The sequence below is a fragment of the Homo sapiens genome, chromosome 2 (assembly GCF_000001405.40).
Source record: "Homo sapiens chromosome 2, GRCh38.p14 Primary Assembly".
NCBI lineage: Eukaryota > Metazoa > Chordata > Mammalia > Primates > Hominidae > Homo > Homo sapiens.
This window is the reverse complement of record NC_000002.12, coordinates 69,425,311-69,445,943: the sequence shown is the minus strand read 5'-3', so window position 1 is coordinate 69,445,943 and position 20,633 is coordinate 69,425,311. Positions and strand designations below refer to the sequence as shown.

Here is a 20,633-nt window from a genome sequence, read left to right as displayed (position 1 = left end):
CACCTTATTCAATATATTGATGACCTTCTACTTTGTAGCCCCTCCTTTGAATCTTCTCAACAAGACATCCTCCTGCTCTTTCAACATTTATTCTCCAAAGGATATCGGGTATCCTTCTCCAAAGCTCAAATTTCTTCTCCATCCGTTACCTACCTTGGCATAATTCTTCATAAAAACACACATGCTCTCCCTGCTGATCGTGTCTGACTGATCTCTCAAACCCTAACACCTTCTACAAAACCACAATTCCTTTCCTTCCTAGGCATGATTGGATACTTTCACCTTTGGATACCTGGTTTTGCCATCCTAACAAAACCATTATATAAACTCACAAAAGGAAACCTAGCTGACCCCATAAATCCTAAATCCTTTCCCCACTCCTCTTTTCATTCCTTGAAGATAGCTTTAGAGACTGCCCCCACGTTAGCTCTCCCTGACTCATCCCAACCCTTTTCATTACACACAGCCAAAGTGCAGGGCTGTGCAGTTGGAATTCTTACACAAGGACCAGGACCATGCCCTATAGCCTTTTTGTCCAAACAACTTGACCTTACTGTTTTAGGCTGGCCATCATGTCTCTGTGCAGTGGCTGCCACCGCCCTAATACTTTTAGAGGCCCTCAAAATCACAAACTATGCTCAACTCACTCTCTACAGTTCTCATAACTTCCAAAATCTATTTTCTTCCTCACACCTGATGCATATACTTTCTGCTGCACTACACTACCTCTCAGCAAGCCAAACTCATTGCCTTAACTCAAGTCCTCACCCTTGCAAAGGAATTATGTGTCAATATTTATACTGACTCTAAATATGCCTTCCATATCCTGCACCACCATGCTGTTACATGAGCTGAAAGAGATTTCCTCACTATGCAAGGGTCCTCCATTATTAATGCCTCTTTAACAAAAACTCTTCTCAAAGCTGCTTTACTTCCAAAGGAGGCTGGAGTCATTCACTGCAAGGGCCATCAAAAGGCATCAGATCCCATTGCTCAGGACAATGCGTATGTTGATAAGGTAGCTTAAAAAGCAGCCATCAAAAGGCATCAGATCCCATTGCTCAGGATGATGCTTATGCTGATAAGGTAGCTAAAAAAGCAGCTAGAGTTCCAACTTCTATCCCTCATGGCAGTTTTTCTCCTTTTCATCTGGCCACTCCCACCTACTCCCCAACTGAAACTTCCACCTATCAATCTTTTCCCACACAAGGCAAATGGTTCTTGGACCAAGGGTCTCCTTCCAGCCTCACAGGCCCATTCTATTCTGTTGTCATTTCATAACCTCTTCCATGTAGGTTACAAGCCGCTAGCCCATCTCTTAGAACCTCTCATTTCCTTTCCATCGTAGAAATCTATCCTCAAGGAAATCACTTCTCAGTGTTCCATCTGCTATTCTACTACTCTTCAGGGATTACTCAGGCCTACATATCAAGCTCGGGGCCACCCAGGACTGGAAAATTGACTTTACTCACATGCCTCAGTGAGGAAACTAAAATACCTCTTGGTCTGGGTAGACACTTTCACTGGGTGGGTAGAGGCCTTTCCCACAGGGTCTGAGAAGGCCACCGCAGTCATTTCTTCCCTTCTGTCAGACATAATTCCTCGGTTTGGCCTTCTCACCTCTATGCAGTCCGATAACGGACTGGCCTTTATTAGTCAAATCACCCAAGCAGTTTTTCAGGCTCTTGGTATTCAGTGAAATCTTTATATCCCTTACCGTCCTCAGTCTTCAGGAAGGGTAGAATGGACTAATGGTCTTTTAAAAACACAACTCACCAAGCTCAGCCACCAACTTAAAAAGGACTGGACAATACTTTTATCACTTGCCTTTCTCAGAATTTGGGCCTGTCCTTGGAATGCTACAGGGTACAGCCCATTTGAGCTCCTGTATAGACGTTCCTTTTTATTAGGCCCCAGTCTCATTCCAGACACCATACCAACTTGGACTGTACCCCAAAAAACTTGTCATCCCTACTATCTTCTGTCTGGTCATACTCATATTCACCATTCTCAACTACACATAAATGCCCTGCTCTTGTTTACAGTGCCGGTTTACACTGTTTCTCCAAGCCATCACAGCTGATATCTCCTGGTGCTATCTCCAAACCGCCACTCTTAACTCCTTCTTAAAGTAAATAAATAATCTTTGCTGGCAGGGCTATGCTGAACCTCCTTGGGCACTCTCTAATTAGATGTACTGGGTCCTCCCAATTCTTAGTCCTTTAATACCTGTTTTTCTCCTTCTCTTATTCCTTTTAGTTTTTTAATTCATGCAAAACCATATCCAGGCCATCACCAATACTTCTATACAACAAATGTTTCTTCTAACAACCCCACAATATCACCCCTTACCACAAAATCTTCCTTCAGCTTAATCTCTCCCACTCTAGATTCCCACGCTGCCCCTAATCCCGCTTGAAGCAGCCCTGAGAAACATCACCCATTCTCTCTCCATACCACCCCCCAAAATTTTCACCGCCCCAACACTTTACCACTATTTTGTTTTATTTTTCTTATTAATATAAAAAGACAGGAATGTCAGACCTCTGAGCCCAAGCTAAGCCATCATATCCCCTGTGACCTGCACATACATCCAGATGGCCTGAAGTAACTGAAGAATCATAAAAGAAGTGAAAATGGCCTGTTCCTGCCTTAACTGATGACATTACCTTGTGAAATTCCTTCTCCTGGCTCATCCTGGATCAAAAGCTCCCACACTGAGCACCTTGTGACCCCTACCCCTGCCAGCTAGAAAACAACCCCCTTTGACTGTAATTTTCCTTTACCTACCCAAATCCTATAAAATGGCCCCACCCCTATCTCCCTTTGCTGACTCTCTTTTCAGACTCAGCCCATCTGCACCCAGGTGAAATAAACAGCCCTGTTGCTCACACAAAACCTGTTGGGTGGTCTCTTCACACGGATGCGAGTGAAACAGGTACACTATAGTTTTCTTCTGAAACGTAATTTTTCTTTTTCTAGTTTCCCATTTTTATCAAGGATAAATCATAGTAGGACCAATTTATTTACAAAATAAGTTTTAGTCTTATTGTACTTGGCCTGATTATTTGCATACAATGCTGTAAGCGTAGTGATTGACCATAGAGGCTCCTTTTAAATTGGCTTTGTGGGAACCATTTCATAAGGAATAGCAGATTTGACTTTTTAAAAGCCTCTTGAGGTTATCCAAGCCAAGGATTTATGTATGCCTGTAGATACCTGTATGAATTGGGGGTGAATTCCACTTTTCTTGAGGTTCCAAAGTAACTTGAGTTTCCTGGGCCTGTCAGAAAGTGACAATCTTTACTTATTACAGGTCAGGAACTTTGTAAAAGAATTGGATAGACATGGTACCAGGCCAGTCTTTCCAAAGGGCTTTTTATTGGCTCTATAAAGTCAATGTCAATTCCTCAAAGCAGTCGGAGTACATCTGAAAAAAATGCTATTCCAGTCAAAGCCTTGATAAAATAACCAGTGTCTCAAATTTTGTCCTGTTACAAAAGAAAACAGATTCTTACTGAATTTATGCAAATAACTATACTGCTATATATTAAGAATACTCACAAATAGGCCGGGTGTGGTGGCTCACACCTGTAATCCCAACACTTTGGGAGACTGAGGCAGGAGGACTGCTTGAGCTCAGGAGTTTGAGAGCAGCCTGGGCAACATAGTGAGACCCTGTCTCTGCAAAAAATAAACAAAATTAGCTGAGTGTGGTGTTGGGCACCTGTAGTCACAGTTACTTGCTTGGGAGGCTGAGGTGGAAGGATCAGTTTAGCCTGGGAAGTTGAGGCTGCAGTGAGCTGAGATTGCACCACTGCAATCCTGCCTGGGCAACAGAGTGAGACCTTGTCTCAAAAAAAAAAAAAAAAAAAAAAAAAAAAAAAGAATCTCACAAATAGTTTCCAAATTCTGGGGAAATTTAGAGAGAAAGAATATGCTTCAAATTTTGATCAGAAAGGTATATTTTACCCAACTTGTTGTAAGCTATAAATAGCTCAACAGAAAAAAGTTTTCTTGACTCTGTAAAAACAAAACAAAAATTATCAGCAATGTTTCAAACAAAAAACAGTCATTAAAAATTACTTCACACACATACAAAAATTACTTTAATATTCTATTGGTTTAGTCCCATTAATTAACTCTTGTTCTTTTTGATGTTGGGTTAGCAATCCTCATGAATACATCAGCTTTTTAATTAGAGTCCTGGAAAGCATTTTCATAGTCCAATGCTATGATCTCCAAAGTTATCGGAAACTTGTATTCAAGAGTATTTGTTAGAGTCCTTTCCATGAATTTCCTTAAAGAAGAAAATTTTGGACTGCAGCTGATTATAAACTACTTTTTGAGAAGAATCAAAATAAAACAACAATTGTCTGTGGATGACAAAACTCTTAGAACAGCCATGGTTAACCTAATGCTAGATGACGAGTTAGTGGGTGCAGCACACCAGCATGGCACATGTATACATATGTAACTAACCTGCACATTGTGCACATGTACCCTAAAACTTAAAGTATTAAAAAAAAAAAAAAAAGAACAGCCATGGTTAAAGACACAATTGACAAGGAAATTTGGTTATTTCTGTGGCACACAACGATGTAACATAATAATCATAATTATTACTGATGTCATATACTAAGACATACCAGAATTACAGGAATCTCACACAATTTTGAAACACACATTAATAACTCATTCATATAAATATAACCCAAAGAAAGTTAAACACCATTTCACATTTGACAATGCTTCCTCTCCCCCACATAGCGTTCTATTCCCTTAGTGCCTTTGTTGATTTACAAATCTTCTCCAGGAGCTCCCTGAGACCAGGAATTGTTTTGTTCATCTTAATATTACTCCACACAGGATTTTGATCATCTGTGAGTAACAGGAAACCTAATTAAACAGTACTGTAGGCAAATATTGACCTAAAAGAAAGAAGCTGAGGCAAAATTAATATAGAGAATTTATTTGGGCCAAGGTTGAGGACTGTAGCCCTGGCCATATTGCAGGTTGCCTTGGAGAGTGCTCTGGGAAAAAAGGAGAGGCTCAACTTTTTAAAGAAAAAGAGACAAATCAGGGGAGAGGAACAATTACAAAAGTTGCTCATCAGGTATTCTCATTTGACTTTTTTTTTTTCTTGAGACAGGGTCTCATGCTGTCACCCAGGCTGGAGTGCAGTGGTGCAATCACGGCTCATTGCAGCCTCAACTTCCCAGGCTCAGGTGATTCTCTCATCTCAGCCTCCCAAATAGCTGGCACTACAGGCATATGCCATGACATCTGGCTAATTTTTTGTGGAGACATGGTTTGTTTGTAGAGACTCCCAAGTGCTGGGATTAGAGGCGTGAGCCACAGCACCCGGCCCTGATACTTTTCTTTTTTAGGCTAGTCAATGGGCCTCATAATTTAAAGGGGCTCACCTTCCTCAGATAACATGTTTTTATTCTGCCAGGGTTAGTGGCTCATGCTTGTAAACCCTCCATGTTTCCCAGCATGGTCTCAAACTCCTGGGCTCAAGCAATTTGCCCACCTTGGCCTCCCAGAGTGTTGGGATTACAGGTGTGAGCCACCATGCTCAGCAGGTATTCTCATTGGTTTACAGAAATAACATTGTTAGTGACTGGCCATGCACTGTTGAACTATAGGGTATATGGCATGTTAACGGCTTCTTGACATTAGTCTAGTGTATACATAGCAAGTGACTTCAAGAAGTTGTTACTTAGCTCAAGGGCGAATGAGATATTACTGCTGCTACATTTTAAATGCCTCTCTGGGCCTGATACTTTTTCTAGTGCAGGCTTGTGGTGCAGGACTGGCAGGCAGCTCTGCTCATGGCCCTGGCATGGGATCCACTAGGCGAAGCCAGCTGGGCTCCTGAGTCAGGTGGGGACTTGGAGAACTTTTATGTCTAGCCAGAGGATTGTATATGTATCAATCAGCACTCTGTGTCTAGCTTGGGGTTTATGGATGCACCAATCAGCACTCTGTATCTAGCTAATCTGGTGGGAACTTGGAGAACTTTTATGTCTGGCTAAAGGATTGTAAATACACCAATCAGCACCCTGTGTCTAGCTCAAGGTTTGTAAATGCACCAATCAGTGCTCTGTGTCTAGCTAACCTAGTGGGGACTTGGAGAACTTTTACTCTAGCTAGAGGATTGTAAATACACCAATCAGCACTCTATGTCTAGCTCAGGGATTGTAAACGCACCAATCAGCACCCTGTCAAAACGGACCAATCAGCTCTCTGTAAAACAAACCAATCAGTACTCTGTAAAATGGACCAATCAGCTCTCTGTAAAATGGGCCAATCAGCAGGATGTGGGTGGGGTCAGATAAGGGAATAAAAGCAGGGTGCCTGAGGCAGCAGTGGCAACCTGCTTGGGTCCCCTTCCATGTTATGAAAGCTTTGTTCTTTTGCTCTTTGTAGTAAATCTTGATGTGGCTCACTCTTTGGGCCCGTGCTGTCTTTATGAACTGTAACACCCATCGCAAAGGTCTGCAGCTTCACTCCTGAAGTCAGTGAGACCACGAACCCACCAGAAGAAACAAACTCCGGACACATCTGACCATCTGAAGGAACAGACTCTGGACACACCATCTTTAAGAACTGTAACACTCACCACAAGGGTCCATGGCTTCATTCTTGAAGTTAGCGAGACCAAGAACCCACCAATTCCGGACACAGTAGCACAGAGGCTGTGGGTGGTTTGACTAGAGCAGGCCCTAAGAATGGTGGGACATAGAAGCCTCGTTTCAGGGGTTTGAGGAGTGGGAAGTGAAAAACTAGAGACTAAGAGTGCAGACCATTTTTTTAAGCCACTTGGTTCTGAAGGGAAGAAAAGAGTGTGGAAGAGGATTTGGGGCAAGGCAGGATTTTTCTTATGATAAGGAATCCATCAGAGAGGGAAAAATTGAAGTCTGAGAAGAACGATTGTTCCAAGGTGGAAGAGCCACATTTTATTTTTGATTGAGGGTCAAAAACAGAGCCTTGGACTGCCTTGCGGTCTAGAATGGGTGTGTGTGGGGGGGTGGGTGGGGGGTTGGATGGGGGAAGATCACTGGGTGGGGGGTTGGATGGGGGAAGATCACTAGTAGTTAAAAGCAAGTACGCAGCATTGGGAATGAACCAAACTCGTAGGAGGCACAGCCCACTCAGTGTGCGGGCCCGGGCGAGCTGCAGGCCTGAAACCCACCCACCCTCTTAGATGTGTCTGTGGGCCATAGAAATTACTAGGGTTGTCTTGGGTGTGGCCTCAACCTGTTCAACAACAGGTGTGCTGTTTCCATTCTGGAAACCAGTCCTCTGTCTTCCAGAACAGTGATTCTCAAATTTTAGCTGGCATCAGAATCCTGGGAAGGGTTTGTTAAAACACTACTAGGCAGGGTGAGGTAACCTAAGAGCTTTTGGAGGCCCAGGTGAGAGGGATCACTTGAGGCCAGCAGAGTTCAAGAGCAGCCCAGGCAACACAGGGAGACCTCTTCTCTACAAAAATACTACTACTACTACTGCTAATAAAAGCCAGGCACCGTGGCTCACACCTGTAATCCCAGTGCTTTGGGAGGCTGAGGCTGGAGGATGAATCACTTGAGCCCAGGAGTTGGTTTTGGTGAGCTATGATCGCACTCCTGCTCTCCAGCCTGGGCAACAGAGATAGACCCTGTCTCTGGAAAAAGAAAAAAAAAAAAAGCAAGTAACAAAGATTTCTAGTCCCCACCTACAGAGATTGTGCCTCAGTAAGTATAAAGTGGGGCCCAGGATTTCTAACATGTTCTAACGTGCATTTCTAACGTGTTCTCCTGCTTTTTTTTGGCCCCTAGTCCGCACTTTGAGAACCGTTGTCCTAGAGAAAACGGAATACTCCAGGAAGGTTCTGGAAGAATAGGTAATGGGCTTTGGCACTCTGCCCTGGAAACTAGTCAAGTCTCATGTTAATCGGAGAAGGGCAGCACTGTACCAGATACATCCTCTGTGCGGGTTGGTCCAAGATGACCAAGTGGCAGCTGACAAGCACAGCTATGAGGAAGGGTTAGACACAGTTCCACATCAGACCCATGGGAAAAGGGCAGGAGAAATGCGAGAACCTTTTAGAAGGAATGCTCCAGGGAGTCTTTGGGGGCAGTCACTGAGCTGGGCCTGGAGGCTGAGTAGGGTCCTAGAGGAGGGAATGGGTCAGGTTTAGGGGCTGGAAACAGCATTCGCAAGGCAGCACCAGCACCAGCTAAAAACCTAGCCAACAGGGAAAACAAAGTACGGAAACACGCATGCGTTCACAGTGCTGCGTGAATTAACCAAGCGTTGGCGCAAACGGGAAAGGTTCCCCGGCCTCTCTTGGTCAGGGTGACGCAGTAGCCTGCAAACCTCGGCGCGTAGGCCACCGCACTTATCCGCAGCAGGACCGCCCGCAGCCGGTAGGGTGGGCTCTTCCCAGTGCCCGCCCAGCTACCGGCCAGCCTGCGGCTGCGCAGATCTTTCGTGGTTCTGTCAGGGAGACCCTTAGGCACTCCGGACTAAGATGGCGGCGACGGCCAGGCGGGGCTGGGGAGCTGCGGCTGTTGCCGCCGGGCTGCGCAGGCGGTAGGTGACGAGCCTGGAGCTCCGAATAGGTGTGCCGCTGGGCTTAGCCAGCGGAGCGGTCGCCGCCTTGCAGACCCTCTCTCGAGGCGGGTGGGTAGTGCATCTGATGGAGCCGGCGGGTCCGCCCTGTCGCCGTAGTTGGGGGTGAGCCCTGAGGCTGTCTGTGCGGGAGCTCGGCGCTTCTGTGGCCTAATCCGGGCGGACTCTCTGGAGCTTCCTCTCAGGCTCAGAGACCCAGTTCTTGAGTCTCTGCGGTACGGAAGCTTGTAGAGACTGGCTGTAGAGCCAGAACGGAGGAGCTGTTTTAAAATCGTGTGCCTCTCCCGCCCCCAGGCCCTCTACCGGGTGCATTCCCTCCTCTTCTAAACGCAGAATCAGAATGTCACACAGAAGGGAAGAAAATACCTTGTCTCGTTTCCTCATTTTCCCAGTAAGGCCCTGAAAGAGGAGGTGACATGTCCAAGGTTACACAGTTTCTAAGTGATGGAATTCCGACGAGAACCAGGACCCCTAGATTCCCTGCACCCACCACCATTAAGCCCACTCTGTTCCCTTGTTTTTTCCGCCTCCCTGAGCCCTACCTTTGAGTTTCACCTTTCAAAGACTTCTGTGAACATTGCTAAGAGGACATTTATGTAGGTGTACCTTAATTTTACGTCTGGAGAAAATGGCCTACGGAGAGTTTGCCCTCTAGAGTATTAGACATTGTAGTGTTAATGGTGCTCTTGAAGTTTAAATGTATATCCTAAAAAGATTTAAGTTGGTAGAATTTTTTGTTAGTTACCTCCTGTGTTTGAGTAGATGTCTTCCTTGAATAATGTAATCCACTCTTACTTTAAAAAAACAAGACTTTAAACCTGTATGTTGGAATGTGCTTCCTCTTTATTCATTCTGCTGCCTTTTCCCTGGGCTGAAGGGACGAGAATATTATTCTTCTAGTGCATTTCCAAATTCCAGAGTATTCACAGATTTAGATACTGAGCTATAGAAAAAGGCATTTTTACCCCAAACCTTGAACTGCACTCAATTAGTAATTATTGGGCACCAATTAAATAATGGTAGCAGCTGCCATTTATTGAGCACTTACTGCATGGCCTGGCACTGGTTTAAGCACTTTACATGGATTCTCTGGATTATTTATGAGGTAGCTGTGAAACTAATCTCATTGTAGAGATGAAGAACTGAGGCCATTGTGCTAGCAGCTAGAAATGAAGATAGTTTCTCCCCTTAATGAGTATGCAGTCTAGCAAGAAAAATATATTAACAAATAATGACAGTCATGAGTGCTGTAATAGATTCATGTAATTTAAAGTGGTGTGCCGGGCGTGGTGGCTCACGCCTGTAATCCCAGCACTTTGAGAGGTCAAGCTGGGCGGATTGGCTGAGGTCAGGAGTTCGAGACCAGTCTGGCCAACATGGTGAAACTAAAAAAAAAAAAAAAAAAGCTGGGCGTGGTGGTGTGTGCCTGTAATCCCAGCGAGTTGGGAGGCTGAGGCAGGGGAATTGCTTGAACCAGGGAGGTGGAGGTTGCAGTGAGCCAAGATCACGCCACTGCACTTCAGCCTGGGTGACAGAGTGAGAAAAGCGAGATTATTTCCATCTCAAAATAAAGTGGTGACAGCTCTTACTGTGATCAACACTGGAGCTAGTGTGGGGAGTGGCAGTCAGGACTTCACAGATTATTTGATTCCCATTCAGTGTTGATTCCATTGTTCTCTTGAATCCTCGGTGCCAATCCTTTTATCTCTCCAATAGCATCTAAGAAACTCTATGGGTTACAGTCCCACAGTATCCCAGTAGTCTTTTGCTTATCAATGGCATATAAAGATTATTGAAGGTAGTAAACAGTTCATCTGTATTTTGTTAATACTTAATTGGTGCCCACTCTTTCTTTTCCACGAGAAGAATTCCAGTTTTGTGAGAGAGAGAAAAAAATGTGGCAGCCGCTGTTGCTTCTTGCCTATTTTAAGCAGAAGATAATTAGATAAATGTGATCTTGTGTATGATCACAAACAATTTTGGCCTTTGGAAAAAATTTTAACAGAAAATTATGACAGTGAAAGACCGTTCTAACTGACCATCATTTTGCCTTTAACCTCTAGACTGCCCATTCCCGGGCTTGGGCCAAGCTAACTTTGGGAGACATTTAGTTTATAGTTTAAATGATAATAGCCCTTTCCCAAAATTAAACCACCTTTATAAAGCTAATGAAAGACCACCAGGTTTGGAGGATGAGAGGAGCCTGAATTCTGCTAAGGTGTAGATGTAAATGATTACCAGCCATTATTCTGGCGGTCCTAAGAGTTGCAACTTCCCCAATTACTCCTGCAGAAAACATCTCTCTTGTAGAACCTAAGATTAGCCTTTTCAGGTTTTTGCATTTCTGACTGGTCCTGTGGCCCCGCCCACAAACGGGCTGAGCACTCAGGAGGATCATTTTCCGCACCCCTATGATTGCATCCCCAACCAGTCAGCAACACCCGTTCCCTGGCCTGCCAGTCTATCCTTGAAAACCCCTAGCCTCAGATCCAGAGAGACTGAGTACTAAAACTCCACTCTCCCTTTCAGCTGGCTCCATGTGAATTAAACTCTTTATTGCAAATCCCCTGTCTTGATGAATTAGCAGTATCTGGACAGTGGGCAAAGTGAACCCATTGGCAATTATAAATGACTCCTGTACTTAAAATTTTTCTATGGCTCCTATGAAGTGGCAGTGGTAATGGATAGCGATGATATTTTCAAGTAAACCGGATTTTAAAGTAAATTGCATTGGGATTTTAAGAATTTTTACTATTAAAGTCTCCTTTTACTTCCTTTTCCAGTAATATTTGCTTTCATTTTCTTCCTTTGTTTTCAGTTTGTCAAAGCCATAAAAAATAGCCAATTAAGTTTTCTCTGTAAGAGTGAAGTAAAGTTAGAGGCCTGGCGCTGTGGCTCACGCCTGTAATCCCAGCACTTTGGGAGGCCGAGGCTAGTGGATCATGAGGTCAGGAGTTCAAGACCAGCCTGGCCAAGATGGTGAAACCCTGTCTCTACTAAAAATACAAAAATTAGCCGGGCATGGTGGTGGGCATCTATAATCCCAGCTACTTGGGAGGCTGAGGCGGAGAATTGCTTGAACCCAGGAGGCGGAGGTTGCAGTGAGCCAAGATCGCACCACTGCACTCCATCCTGGGCGACAGAGCAAGACTCCGTCTCACAAAAAAAAAAAGAAAAAAAAAAGTGAAGTGAAGTTACAACACTGGGTTAATATGTTTCCATCCAAAAAGCATATAAAAGGCAGGGCATGGTGGCTCACGCCTATAATCCCAGCACTTTGGGAGGCCAAAGTGGGAGGATTACTTGAGCCAGGAGCTGGAGATCAGCCTGAGCAACATAGTGGTAATCCATCTCTACCAGAAGTAAAAAAAAAAAAAAAAACTAGCTGGGCATGGTGGCATACAGCTGTAGTGTCACCTACTTGGGAGGCTGAGGTGGGAGAATCACTTGAGCCTAGGATGTTGAGGCTGCAGTGAGCCCTGATCACACCATTGTACTCCAGCATGGGTGACAGAACAAGACCCTGTCTCAAAACAAAACACGAAAAGCGTGATCAAGATCGTTGGCTGTGTAATCCCAGCATTTTGGGAGGCCAAGGCAGGTGGATCACTTTAGGTCAGGAGTTGGAGATCAGCCTGGCCAACGTGGTGAAACCCTGTCTCTACTAAAAATATAAAAATTAGCCGGGTGTGATGGTGTACACCTGTAATCCCAGCTACTAGGGAGGCTGAGGCAAGAGAATCACTTGAACCCAGGAGGTGGAGGTTGCAGTAAGCTGGGATCGCATCACTGCACTCCAGCGTGGGCGACAAAGTGAGACTCAGTCTCAAAAAAAAAAGACGGGCCAGGTGTGGTGTCTCATGCCTGTAATCTCAGCACTTTGGGAGGCCGATACGGGAGGATCACCTGAGGTCAAGAGTTCGAGACCATCCTGGCCAACATGGTGAAACCCTGTCTCTACTAAAAAGTACAAAAATTAGCCAGGCATGGTGGCGGGCACCTGTAATCTCAGCTACTCGGGAGGCTGAGGCAGCAGAATTGCTGGCACCTGGGAGATGGAGGTTGCAGTGAGCCGAGATTGTGCCATTGCACTCCAGCCTGGGCCAACAACAGTGAGACTCCATCTCAAAAACAAAAAGGACAGTCGTATACTTTTTTTTTTTTTTTTTTTGGAGATGGAGTCTTGCTCTTTGGGCCAGGCTGGAGTGCAGTGGCACGATCTCGGCTCACTGCAACCTACGCCTCCTGGGTTCAAGCGATTCCTCTGCCTCAGCCTCCCGAGTAGCTGGGATTACAGGCGCCCACCACCACTCCCAGCTATTTTTTGTATTTTTAGTAGAGATGGAGTTGCACCATGTTGGGCAGGCTCGTCTCGAACTCCTGACCTCAGGTGATCCACCTGCCTTGGCCTCCCAAAGTGCTGGCATTACAGGCGTGAGCCACCACCCCTGGCCCAATAGTATACTTTCTTTTAGATTTTTTGAAGTATTGAAATACTTTTCAAAACAGGTAATATAGGTTATCTTGAGAGAGGGAAACGTAAGGGACAGGAAAGGAGGGAGGCTTTCACTATTTATGCTTTTTTCCCTTACCAGTTTTGAACCATGTGACTCTATTGCCTAATTCTAAATTTTTTAAAAAAATAAAAAAGCTTATAGTTATTTGCTTCCTTCCTGTATAACCAAGAGTCTGGGACTATGGGTTATAAATTACTAATGTAGATACAATTCTGTTTCTTTTTTTTTTTGAGGTAGAGTTTCACTCTTGTTGCCCAGGCTGGAGTGCAATGGCATGATGTTGGCTCACTGCAACCTCTGCCTCCTGGGTTCAAGCAATTCTCCTGCCTCAGCCTCCTGAGTAGCTGGGATTACAGGCATGTGCCACCATGCCCGGCTAATTTTGTATTTTTAGTAGAGATGGGGTTTCTCCATGTTGGTCAGGCTGGTCTTGAACTCCCAACCTCACGTGATCCACCTGCCTCGGCCTCCCAAAATGCTGGGATTACAGGCGTGAGCCACCTCACCCAGCCCAATTCTGTTTCTTATACCTCAATGTTATATTATCCTGTGCACACCCGGTTATCAAGGGTAGGAATTTCCATTTGAGCTCTACCTGATTTTGAATTGTTTGTAGATATTGCTTGCCTAAGTAAGTGGAAATAATGTAGATGGAAGATGAAAAGTCAGTTCTCTAATTATTTCTATTGCGGGTTATGTTTAAATTTTACATAGGTCTTTTTTATACATGAGAAGTAGAAACCAACTTTAAAAGATTAGAGCTCTTAAAATGTCATTCATTATGTGCTTTTAAATGCAGGTTCTGTCATATGTTGAAGAATCCATACACCATTAAGAAACAGCCTCTGCATCAGTTTGTACAAAGACCACTTTTCCCACTACCTGCAGCCTTTTATCACCCAGGTAAAATTTCACCTCTTTTATAGCAGTTGTGTTTCAGAAACTGATGGAACTGTGCTAGGATTTTGTGGATCATAAAAGATGAGAATTTGTATATTTTCTATTTAGAAGCCTATAGATAGAATATAGGAAAAAAAGCTATATTTTTCTTATAGGCTTCTAAGTAGAAAATGTATTTGCAAGGATATTGTCCAATAGATCTATGAAATCTCAGTATGTTGTATAACATATCCCCTGCAACACAAGAGTTGCTCAATAAATGATTTCCAAAATGAAAATACTGTAGAAGTTAAAATCTGACTGGGTGTGGTGGCTCATGCCTGTAATCCCAGTACTTTGAGAGGCTGAGGCAGGTTGATCGCTTGAGCCCAGGAGTTTGAGACCAGCCTGGGCAACACAGCAAAACCCTGTCTCTACAAAAAATACAAAAAATTAGCTGGGCATGGTGGCGCACACGTGTAGTCCCAGCTGCTTGGGAGGCTGAGGTGGGAGAATCCCTTTAGCCCAGGAGTTCAAGCTTGCAGTGAGCCGTGATCACACCACTGTGCTCCAGCCTGGGTGACAAAGTGGGACCCTGTCTCAAAAAGAAGTTTCAAATGGGGATTGTGTTTCAAAGAATTCTATGTATTTAAAGCTACTGCTGTCCTTTTTTTGGATAAGAATACCCTTAAAATTAGTAAATTTCTGGCTTTCATCCAGACCTTAGAACACAGGATTTTGAATGTAGTAAAAAACTACATTCAAAAAAAAGAAAGAAAAGCTTTTTTGTCAAAATTAATTACTATGGTTTTGTTAATAATCTTGATTGTTAACGAGATATATACTTTAATTTTCTTTAATTTGGGAAATAGATATGATTTAAAATAATTTGAAGTGTGATGACTGTAATGTAGAGTTAGGGAAGTTTAAGGGGAGAGGGTATGTGTGTCTGCATGTGTGTATGTATGTAAATGTATACCTATATGTGTTATGGAGCTGTAAGCATATAAATTCAGCCTCTCCTTTCCATTGCTAGCTTGAACACATTCCTGTGGCCATACTCTGGCTGATTCTGGCTAAGGGCGTGAGTTAAATCAGGGTAGACCTTACCCCTTCTGTAGCCAGGGGCCAGAAGAGGAACACTTTCCTGCAGGCTTGCCTGACTGCTTGGATCACAGAATAGCTTAGATATAAATATTGTAAATACTGAGTAACTCAGCTGATTAAACCACTTTAATTGGACTTTTAAACTTTGTAGGACTGAAATATGTGGTCATATAGGCTTTTCAAATAGGAAACCCATTAATTTTAGTCATTGATATTGACTTTAAGCACCACTAATCTGTATTTTGGGGGAGTTTACATCTACCTCCTTAGGTACCTATTAGTACCAAGCATAATAGGAAAAAATAGGCTGGCATGGTGGCTCATGCCTATAATCCCAACACTTTGAGAGGCTGAGGCGGGCAGATCCCTTGAGCCCAAGAAGTTCAAGACCAGCCTCAGCAACATGGTCAAACCCTGTCTTTACAAAAAAATACAAAAATTATCTGGGCTTGGTGGTGCATGCCTGTAGTCCCAGCTACTCAGGAGGCTGAGGTGGGAGAATCACTTGAGCCTAGGAGGTTGAGGCTGCAGTGAGCTGTAATCATGCCACTGCACTTCAGCCTGGGCAGCAGAGTGAGACACTGTCTCAAAAAAAAAAAAAGGAAGAAATATTTTTTATCATTCTGTCCTGTTTCCTGTTGTAAGTCTCATGACATTTTCATGAGCATCTTTCTGGATGATGGACCTGGGAGTCATTTTTGAAATACAAAATTAAACCCAATTGAGATTATAATTGTAATGATTTTGTTAAGTACCTATTCAAATTAGGTGTTTTTTTTTGTTTGTTTTTGAGGCAGGGTCTCACTATGTTGCCCAGGCTAAAGTGCAGTGATGTGATCTTGGCTCACTGTAACCTCCGCCTCCTGGGCTCCAGCCATCCTCCCACCTCAGTCTCCCAAGTAGCTGGTACTACAGGTGCGTACCAACACACCCAGCTAATTTTCGTATTTTTTGTAGAGACGAGGTTTCACTACATTACCTAGGCTGGTCTTGAACTCCAGAGCTCAAGTAACCTGCCTGGCTCAGCCTCCCAAAGTGCTGGGATTATAGGCGTGAGCCACCGTGCCCAGCCTGAATTAGTTTTTTAGTAATAGCTTTATTTATTGTCAACAGTAAAAAGTTCTGTGATGATGTCATTCATTTTCATACTTTCTACTTTAGATAGTATAGAGTATATGCTCTTAAGTGACTTTTTATTTTGCATTTGTAGTTTTTACCCTCAAGGATTTCTAAAAATTTTGCTTTCTGCAGGTGTAGTTTTTCTCAAATTGATTGAGTAGAATAAAGCCAGATTTTTTTTTTTTGTCTTGGCTCACTGCATTTTCTACTGCCTGGGCTCAAGCAGTCCTCTTGCCTTAGCCTCCTATGTAGCTGGAATTATAGGCACATGCCACCACAGCTGACCAATTTTTGTATTTTTTTGTAGAGACAGGATCTCTGTTGCCCAGGCTGGTCTCGAACTTCTGCCCTCAAGTGATCCTCCTGCCTTGGCCTCCCAAAGTGCTGGGATTATAGGTGTGAGCTGATGCACCCAGTTGAAGCCAGATTTAATTTTTCAAATATTGGTAGAGTACTGTGTGCAGATTTTGGTTAGCAATAAATTATTAATACAAGCTGCAAGAAATGATTGGTTCAGAGCCAGAGTTAGAAGATTATTTACAGAAAGTGTTGGCAGCCCTTTCTTTAATGTGTCATTGAAAAATCATTCCCTTATAACACAGATTTTCAGAAGAATGTCTTACTAGAAATATACATATTTTAAATGAAGTACTTGGACATTGCGGCTATTTTTTCATTTTTTAGGAATTGTCTGGTTGTCTAATTAGAAAAAGGATTTAAACAAAATGTATGGGAGTTCACTTTCAATTTTTTTCTTTATCCATGAAATGGTTTAACTTCAGCTAGCTGGAACTGCATGGCAAAGTACAAAAATGGCTCTCAGTTGTCAAATTAGAACTTTTTCTGTAATGACTAAGAAAAGCATTTTTGTACCAACCATATGTTTTGCCAAATTTAAACTCTTTCAAATTTAAAATAAAACTGTTGCTTTTTGATATTCTATTCTCTCTCCTAAAATAGGTGATGTGAAAATTAGGACAGGAAGATTGATCTTAAATGTATTTTCCTATTATGCCTGGCAATGTTAGATAAGGATTAGCAATATGTACGGTGGCTAAGAAAGTCAGCACCTAGAAAATTGTCCAGCTTTGAATCCTGGCTCTGTCACTTAGTAGCTGAGTGACCTTTAGTCTCCTTATTATAAAATAAGATAAAAATAGTAAGTATTGAAAGTACTCATTGAAAGTATGTAAGGATTAAATGATATAATACATGTAAAGTGCTTAGCACCCTGCCCAGTGCATGATAGGCACTGAATAATTTTTTTTTTTTTGAGACAGAGTCTCACTATGTCTCGCAGGCTGGAGTGCGTGGTGGCTGGATCTTGGCTCACTGCAACCTCCCTCTCCTGGGTTCAAGCAATTCTCCTGCATCAGCCTTCTAGGTAGCTGGGATTACAGGCGCACATCACCACACCTGGCTAATTTTTGTATTTTTAGTAGACACAGGGTTTTACCATGTTGACCAGGCTGTTCTCGAACTCCTGACCTCAGGTGATCCGCCTGCCTTGGCCTCCCAAAGTGCTGGGGATTATAGGCATAACCCACTGCGCCCGGCCAGGCACTGAATAAATTTTAATTGTTATATAGTATTGTCAGTCTATTTAAATATACTGCTGTAAGATGGAGGATTTCTTTTTACTCAGAAGGTTCATTTTCTTTTTTCTTTTTTCTTTTTGAGACAGAGTCTTGCTCTGTTGCCCAGGCTGGACTGTAATGGCGCAATCTTGGTTCACTGCAGCCTCCACCTCCCAGGTTCAAGTGATTGTCCTGCCTCAGCCTCCTAAGTAGCTGGGATTACAGGAGCGCACTACCACGCCTGGCTAATTTTTGTATTTTTACAAATACCTCTACAAAATAACCCTACCTCTACAAAACCCCTGTAGAGACGGGGTTTCACCATGTTGGCCAGGCTGGTCCTGAACTCCTGACCTCAGGTGATCTGCCCACCTCGGCCTTCCAAAGTGCTGGGATTACAGGTGTGAGCCACCACACCTGGCCTTTTTTTTTTTTTTTTTTTTGAGACTGAGTGTCACTCTGTCACCCAGGCTGGAGTGCAGTGGCACATTCTTGGCTCACTGCAAGCTCCGCCTCCCATGTTCAAGTGATTCTCCTGCCTCAGCCTCCCAAGTAGCTGGGACTACGGACGCACACTACCACGCCTGGCTGACGTTTGTGTTTATAGTAGAGATGGGTTTTCACCATGTTGGCTAGGCTGGTTTCAAACTCCTGACCTTGTGATCCACCTGCCTTTACCTCCCAAAGTGCTGAGATTACAGGCGTGAGCCACCATGCCTGGCCTTCTATTTTTTTTTGAGATGGAGTTTTGCTCTTTTTGCCCAGGCTGGAGTGCAATGGTGCGATCCCAGTTAACTGCAACCTCTGCCTCCCAGGTTCAAGTGATTCTCCTGCCTCAGCCTCCTGAGTAGCTGGGATTACAGGCGCCTGCCACCACGCCCGGTTAATTTTGTATTTTTAGTAGAGACGGGGTTTCACCATGTTGGCCAGGCTGGTCAGGAACTCCTGACCTCAGGTGATCCACCCGCTTTGGCCTCCCAAAGTGCTAGGATTATAGGCGTGAGCCACCACGCCTGGCCAGAAAATTCATTTTCTTTTCTTTCTTTCTTTCTTTTTTTTTTTTGAGACCTAGTCTCTCTCTATTGCCCAGGCTGGAGTGCAATGGCAGGATCTCAGCTCACTGCAACCCGGGTTCAATCGATTCTCCTGCCTCAGCTTCCTGAGTAGCTGGGATTACAGGCAGATACCACCACGTCTGGCTAATTTTTGTATTTTTTTAGTAGAGACGGGGTTTCACCATGTTGGCCAGGCTGGTCTCAAACTCCTGACCTCGTGATCCGCCCGCCTCGGCCTCCCAAAGTGCTGGGATTCCAGGCGTGAGCCACTGCCCCCTTCATTATGATTATTCATAATGAATAATCAGATCTGTTTAATAGTTTTAAAACTATTAAAATGCCAGTGCCGTCCTTTCGTCCTGCAAGCTGTTGTCATAATAGCAAGGTAGGAAATTAAAGATTGTGTTATCTCTTTATTGCTTTAGTGAATCCATTCTCAATCTAATCATGGTCCTAGAAAAAAGATATTATAAGAAAAGAGTTGGCGGGCACAGTGGCTCATGCCTGTAATCCCAGCATTTTGGGAGGCCAAGGCAGGCGGATCACCTGAGGTCAGGAGTTCGAGATTAGCCTGGCCAACATGGTGAAACCTCATCTCTACTAAAAATACAAAAATTAGCTGGGCTTGGTGGTATATGCTGGTAATCTCAGCTACTCAGGAGGCTGAGGCAGGAGAATTGCTTGAACCTGGAAGGCAGAGTTTGCAGTGAGCCGAGATCATGCCACTGCACTCCAGCTTGGGCGACAGAGCGAGACTCAATCTCAAAAAAAGAAGAGTCTGTAAAGATGTCTTTTAGGCTAGGCACAGTGGCTCACGCCTTTAATCCTAGCACTTTGGGAGGCCGAGGCGGATGGATCGCCTGAGGCCAGGAGTTCAAGACCAGCCTGGCCAACATGATGAAACCCCTTCTCTACAAAAAATCAAAAATTAGCTGGGTGTGGTGGTGCACACCTGTAGTTCCAGCCACTTGGGAAGCTGAGGCATGAGAATCGCTTGAATCCAGAAAGCAGAGGTTGTAGTGAGCCAAGATTGTGCCACTGCACTCTAGCTTGGGTACAGTGTGAGTCCTTGTCTTGAAACAAACAAAATAGATATCTTTTAAATATTCCAGGAAGTAATTTGCATAGATTCTTGCTTATGTTGTATTTTGTTATGTTATTTACTGTACCATTAGGCAACTTAATTAATATCTCTAAGCCTCCGTGTCTTCATTTGTAAAATGGGAGTAAGAGTTCCTTCTTTACAGGGTTGTTAAAGGCATAAATACATGTAAAGCACCTGGGCCAGGCATGGTGGCTCATGCCTGTAATCCCAACACTTTGGGAGGCTGAGGTAGGTGGATCACTCGAGGCAAGGAGTTTGAGATCAGCCTGGCCAACATGGTGAAACCCAGTTTAAAAAAAAAAAAATTAGGCCGGGCACAGTGGCTTACACCTGTAATCCCACCACTTTGGGAGGCTGAGGTGGGTGGATCACGTGAGGTCAGGAGTTTGAGACCAGCTGGGCCAACATGGTGAAACCCTGTCTCTACTAAAAATACAAAAATTAGCCGGGCATGGTGGTGCATGCCTATAATCCCAGCTACTCAGGAGGCTGAGGCAGGAGAATCACTTGAACTTAGGGGGCAGAGGTTGCAGTGAGCCACGATTGTGCCACTTCACTCTAGCCTGGGGGAAAGAGCGAAACTCCATCTCAAAAAAAAAAAAAATTAAAAATAAATAAATAAAGCACTTGGCCCCGGAGCTGGACATGATGG

The 20,633-nt window shown here is 44.0% G+C and overlaps 1 protein-coding gene across 7 annotated transcripts in view, besides 2 other annotated features; it reads left to right on the top strand.

Moving 5' to 3' along the window:
• Positions 696-1,252: an enhancer, noted in NCBI's record as "OCT4-NANOG hESC enhancer chr2:69671824-69672380 (GRCh37/hg19 assembly coordinates)". NCBI's record gives its function as "activates a minimal SCP1, AML or CMV promoter by ChIP-STARR-seq in naive and primed H9 embryonic stem cells {active_cell/tissue: H9 hESC(naive and primed)}" and the evidence as "EXISTENCE:reporter gene assay evidence [ECO:0000049][PMID:30033119]".
• Positions 6,377-20,633, top strand: part of NFU1 (NFU1 iron-sulfur cluster scaffold) — a 43,818-nt gene continuing 29,561 nt past the window's right edge. For 3 of the 7 annotated variants that reach the window (NR_045632.2, NR_045631.2, NM_001002755.4), the window contains exons 1-2: positions 8,509-8,583; positions 13,939-14,042. Coding sequence is in view for 4 of the 7 variants with exons in the window: in NM_001002755.4 (NP_001002755.1) it covers positions 8,522-8,583; positions 13,939-14,042 (166 nt within the window). In the remaining 3 variants the exon portion in view is untranslated. Of the gene's footprint in view, positions 6,950-7,826; positions 7,892-8,311; positions 8,674-13,938; positions 14,043-20,633 lie in introns of those variants that run through there. The other 4 variants (NM_001374284.1, XM_047443939.1, NM_001002756.2 and 1 more) reach the window with 4 other exon arrangements.
• Positions 8,504-8,653: an enhancer, noted in NCBI's record as "active region_15971". NCBI's record gives its function as "activates an Ori minimal core promoter by ATAC-STARR-seq in GM12878 lymphoblastoid cells {active_cell/tissue: GM12878}" and the evidence as "EXISTENCE:reporter gene assay evidence [ECO:0000049][PMID:35858748]".